At 39.8% G+C, this 5,764-nt stretch overlaps 1 annotated feature.

Moving 5' to 3' along the window:
* Positions 4,841 to 5,135: an enhancer, noted in NCBI's record as "tiled region #442; K562 Activating non-DNase unmatched - State 24:Quies, and HepG2 Activating non-DNase unmatched - State 24:Quies". NCBI's record gives its function as "activates a minimal TATA promoter and a strong SV40 promoter by Sharpr-MPRA in K562 cells, with weak activation in HepG2 cells {active_cell/tissue: HepG2 | K562}" and the evidence as "EXISTENCE:reporter gene assay evidence [ECO:0000049][PMID:27701403]".

Here is a 5,764-nt window from a genome sequence, read left to right as displayed (position 1 = left end):
TTTCTGACTTTTTAATGATCACCATGCTAACTGGTGTGAGATGGTATCTCATTGTGATTTTCATTTGCATTTCTCTGATGACCAGTGATGATGAGCATTTTTTCATATGTCTGTTTGCTGCATAAATGTCATCTTTTGAGAAGTGTCTTTTCATAACTTTTGCCCACTTTTTGATTGGGTTGTTTTCTTTTTTCTTGTAAATATGTTTAAGTTCTTCGTAGATTCTGGGTATTAGCCATTTGTCAGATGGATAGATTGCAAAAATTTTCTCCCGTTCTGTAGGTTGCCTGTTCACTCTGATGATATTTTCTTTTGCTGTGCAGAAGTTCTTTAGTTTAATTAGATCCCAGTTGTCAATTTTGGCTTTTGTTGCCATTGCTTTTGGTGTTTTAGTGATGAAGACTTTGCCCATGCCTATGTCCTGAATGGTATTGCCTAGGTTTTCTTCTGGGGTTTTTATGTTGTTAGGTCTTACATTTAAGTCTTTAATCCATTTTCAGTTAATTTTTGTATACAGTGTAAAGAAGGGATCCAGTTTCAGCTTTCTACATATGGCTAGCCTGTTTTCCCAGCACCATCTATTAAATAGGGAATCCTTTCTCCATTTCTTGTTTTTGTCAGGTTTGTCAAAGATCAAATAGTGGTAGACATGTGGTGTTATTTCTGAGGACTCTCTTTTGTTCCATTGGTCTATATCTCTGTTTTGGTACCAGTACCATGCTGTTTTGATTACTGTAGACTTGTAGTAAGTTTGAAGTCAAGTAGTGTGATGCCTCCAGCTTTGTTCTTTTGGCTTAGGATTGCCTTGGCTATGTGGGCTCTTTTTTGCTTCCACATGAACTTTAAAGTAGTTTTTTCCAATTCTGTGAGAAAGTCAGTGGTAGCTTGATGAGGATGGCATTGAATCTATAAATTACCTTGGGCTGCACGGCCATTTTCACAATATTGATTCTTCCTATCCATGAGCATGGAATGTTCTTCCATTTGTTTGTGTCCTCTTTTATTTCGTCGAGCAGTGGTTTTTAGTTCTGCTTGAAGAGGTCCTTCACATCCCTTGTAAGTTGGATTCTTAGGTATTTTATTCTCTTTGTAGTATTTGTGAATGGGGATTCACTCATGATTTGGCTCTCTGCTTGTCTATTATTGATGTGTAAGAATGCTTGTGATTTTTGCACATTGATTTTGTATCCTGAGACTTTGCTGAAGTTGCTTATCAGCTTAAGGAGATTTTAGGCTGAGACAATGGAGTTTTCTAAATATACAATCATGTCATCTGCAAACAGAGAAAATCTGACTTCCTTTTTTTCTAATTGAATACCCTTTATTTCTTTCTCTTGCCTGACTGCTCTGGCCAGAACTTCCAACACTATGTTGAATAGGAGTGGTGAGAGAGGGTATCCTTATCTTGTGCCAGTTTTCAAAGGGAATGCTTCCAGGTTTTTGCCCATTCAGTATGATATTGGTTGTGGGTTTGTCCTAAATAGCTCTTATTATTTTGAGCTGTGTTCCATCAATACCTAGTTTATTGAGAGTTTTTAGCATGAAGGGCTATTGAATTTTGTCAAAGGCCTTTTCTGCATCTATTGAGATAATCATGTGGTTTTTGTCATTTGTTCTGTTTATGTGAGGGATTATGTTTATTGATTTGCATATGTTGAACCAGGCTTGCATCCCACGGATGAAGCTGACTTGATCATGGTGGATAAGCTTTTTGATGTGCTGCTGGATTCAGTTTGCCAGTATTTTATGGAGGATTTTTGCATCAATGTTCATCAGGGATATTGTCCTAAAATTCTCTTTTTTTCTTGTGTCTCTGCCAGGCTTTGGTATCAGAATGATGCTGGCCTCATAAAATGAGTTAGGGAGGATTCATCTTTTTCTACTGGTTGGAATAGTTTCAGAAAGAATGATACCAGCTCCTCTTTGTACCTCTGGTAGAAGGTGGCTGTGAATCCATCTGGTCCTGGACTTTTTTTGATTGGTAGGGTATTAATTGTTGCCTCAATTTAGGAACCTGTTATTGGTCTATTCAGAGATTCAACTTCTTCCTGGTTTAGTCTTTGGAGGGTGTATGTGTCCAGGAATTTATCCATTTCTTCTAGATTTTCTAGTTTATTTGTGTAGAAGTGTTTATAGTATTCTCTGATGGTAGTTTGTATGTCTGTGGGATTGGTGGTGATATCCCCTTTATCATTTTTTATTGTGTCTATTTGATTCTTCTGTCTTTTCTTCTTTGTTAGTCTTGATAACAGTCTATTTATTTTGTTGATCTTTTCAAAAGATGAACTCTTGTATTCATTGATTTTTTGAAGGTATTTTTGTGTCTCTATCTCCTTCAGCTCTGCTCTGATCTTAGTTATTTCTTGCCTTCTGCTAATTTTTGAATTTGTTTGCTGTTGCTTCTCTGGTTCTTTTAATTGTGTTGTTAAGGTGTTGATTTTAGATCTTTCCTTCTTTCTCTTGTGGGCATTTAGTGCTATAAATTTCCCTCTACACACTGCTTTAAATGTTTCCTAGAGATTCTGGTACGTTGTGTCTTCGTTCTCATTGGTTTGAAAGAACATCTTTATTTCCGCCTTCATTTCATTAGGTTGTTCTGTTTCCATGTAATTGTGAGGTCTTGAGTGAGTTTTTAAATCCTGAGTTCTAATTTGATTGCATTGTGGTCTGAGAGGCAGTTTGTTATGATTTCTGTTCTTTTACATTTGCTGAGGAGAGCTTTACTTCCAATTATGTGGTCAATCTTAGAATAAGTATGATGTGGTGCTAAGAAGAATGTATATTCTGTTGATTTAGGGTGTACAATTCTCTAGATGTGTATTAGATCCACTTGGTCCAGAGCTGAGTTCAAGTCCTGGATATCCTTGTTAACCTTTTGTCTTGTTGATCTGTCTAATATTGATAGTGTGGTGTTAAAGTCTTCCATTATTATTTCGTGGGAATCTAAGTCTCTTTTTAGGTCTCTAATGACTTGCTTTATGAATATGGGTGCTCCTGCATTGGGTGCATATATATTTAGGATAGTTAGCTCTGCTTGCTGAGTTGATCCCTTTACCATTATGTAGTGGCCTTCTTTGTCTTTTTTGATCTTTGATGGTTTAAAGTCTGTTTTATCAGAGACTAGGATTGCAGCCCTTCCTTTTTTTTGCCTTCCATTTGCTTGGTAGATCTTCCTACATCCCTTTATTTTGAACCTATGTGCATCTTTGCACTTGAGATGGGTCTCCTGAATACAGCACATCGAAGGGTCTTGACCGTTTATCCAATTTGCCAGTCTGTGTCTTTTAATTTGGTCATTTAGCCCATTTACATTTAAGGTTAATATTGTTTTGTTTGAATTTGATCCTGTTATTATGATGTTAGCTGGTTATTTTGCCCATTAATTGATGCAGTTTCTTCTTAGTGTCTATGGTCTGCACGATTTGGCATATTTCTGCAGTGGCTGGTACCAGTTGTTCCTTTCCATGTTTAGTGCTTCCTTCAGGAGCTCTTGTAAGGCAGGCCTGATGGTGACAAAATCTCTCAGCATTTGCTTGTCTGTAAAGAATTTTATTTCTCCTTCACTTATGAAGCTTAGTTTGGCTGGATATGAGATTCTGGTTGAAAATTCTTTTCTTTAAGAATGTTTAATATTGGCCCCAGTCTCTTCTGGATTGTAGGGTTTCTGCCAAGGGATCCACTGTTAGTCTGATGGGCTTCCTTATGTAGGCAACCTGACCTTTCTCTCTGGCTGCCCTTAAAATTTTTTTCCTTCATTTCAACCTTGGTGAATCTGACAATTATGTGTCTTGGGGTTGCTCTTCTCAAGGAGTATCCTTGTGGCATTTTCTGTATTTCCTGAATTTGAATATTTGCCTGCCTTGCTAGGTTAGGGGAGTTCTCCTGGATAATATCTGGAAGAGTGTTTTCTAACTTGGTTCCATTCTCCTCGTCACTTTCTGGTATACCAATCAAATGTATATTTGGTCTTTTCACATAGTGCCATATTTCTTCAAAGCTTTATTCATTTCTTTTCACTCTTTTTTCTCTAATCTTGTCTTCTCACTTTATTTCATTAATTTGATTTTCAATCACTGATATCCTTTCTTCCGCTTGATCAAATTGGCTATTGAAGTTTGTGCATGTGTCACAAAGTTCTCATGCTGTGGTTTTCAGCTCCATCAAGTAATTTAAGGTCTTCTCCACACTGTTCTAGTTAGCCATTTGTCTAACCTTTTCTTCAAGGTTTTTAGCTTCCTTGTGATGGGTTAGAACATGCTCCTTTAGCTCAGAGAAGTTTGTTATTGCCTACCTTTTGAAGCCTACTTCTGTCAACTCATCAAACTCATTCTCCATCCAGTTTTGTTCTCTTGCTGGCGAGGAGCTGAGATCCTCTGGAGGAGAAGAGGCACTCTGGTTTTTGGAATTTTCTGCTTTTCTGCTCTGGTTTCTCCCCATCTTTGTGGTTTTATCTACCTTTGGTCTTAGATTTTGATGAACTACAGATGGGGTTTTGATGTGGATGACCTTTTTGTTGATGTTGATGCTATTCCTTTCTGTTTATTAGTTTTCCTTCTAACAGTCAGGCCTCTCAGCTGCAGGTCTGGTGGAGTTTGCTGGAGGTCCACTCCAGACACTGTTTGCTTGGGTATCGCCAGCACAGCCTGCAGAACAGCAAATATTGCTGCCTGATCCTTCCTCTGGAAGCTTCATCCCAGAGGGGCACCCACCTGTTTGAGGTTTCTGTCAGCTCCTACTGGGAGATGTCTCCCAGTCAGGCTACATGGGGGGGTCAGAGACCTGCTTGAGGACGCAGTCTGTCTGTTCTCAGAGCTCGAACACCATGCTGAGAGAACCACGGATCTCTTCAGAGCTGCCAGACAGGGATGTTTAAGTCTGCAGAAGCTGTCTGCTGCCTTCTGTTCTGCTATGCCCTGCCCCCAGAGTTGGAATCTGGGGAGGCAGTAGGCCTTGATGAGCTGCAGTGGGCTCCGCCCAGTTCCAGCTTCCTGGCTGCTTTGTTTACACTTTGAGCTACTCAAGCCTCAGCAAAGGCAGATTGCCCTACCCCCGTCAAGCTGCAGTGTTACAGGTTGATCTCAGACTGCTGTGCTAGCAGTGAGCAAGGCTCTGTGGGTGTGGGACCTGCTGAGCCAGGCTGGGAGGGTATCTCCTGGTCTGCTGATTGCTAAGACCATGGGGAAAGCACAGTATTTGGTCAGGAGTGTACCATTTCTCCAAGTACAGTCTGTCATGGCTTCCCTTGGATAGGGAAGGGAAATCCCCTGACCCCTTGCACATCCTGGGTGAGGTGATGCCCTGCCCTGGTTCAGCTCACCCTCCGTGGGCTGCATCCACTGTCCAACCAGTTCCAGTGAGATGAACCATGTACCTTAGTTGGAAATGAAGAAATCACCCGTCTTCTTCGTCGTTCTTGCTGGGAGCTGCAGACCGGAGCTGTTCCTATTCAGCTATCTTGGAAGCGACCACATGATGTTTTAAAGGGGAGATAAGGTAACGCAAACTCCAAGATGTGCTTATTTCACATTGAATGCCTGTATCGAAATATCTGTCATACCCCATAAAAATATACACCTACTATGTACCCCCCAAAATTAAAATATATATATATGTGTGTGTGTATATATATATATATGGAATATAACAAACTGTTAGAATGGACTGGGGATTGCCAAAAGGCTTTTTTGACCATTAAAGAAAAGTTGATAACAGGTCTTGTATTAGGACTCCCCAGTATAAGAAAGCCCTTTGACCTATTTTTGCA

The sequence above is a fragment of the Homo sapiens genome, chromosome 4 (genome assembly GCF_000001405.40).
Source record: "Homo sapiens chromosome 4, GRCh38.p14 Primary Assembly".
NCBI lineage: Eukaryota > Metazoa > Chordata > Mammalia > Primates > Hominidae > Homo > Homo sapiens.
The sequence above is the reverse complement of the archived record's forward strand: the minus strand, read 5'-3'. Positions and strand labels throughout refer to the sequence as shown.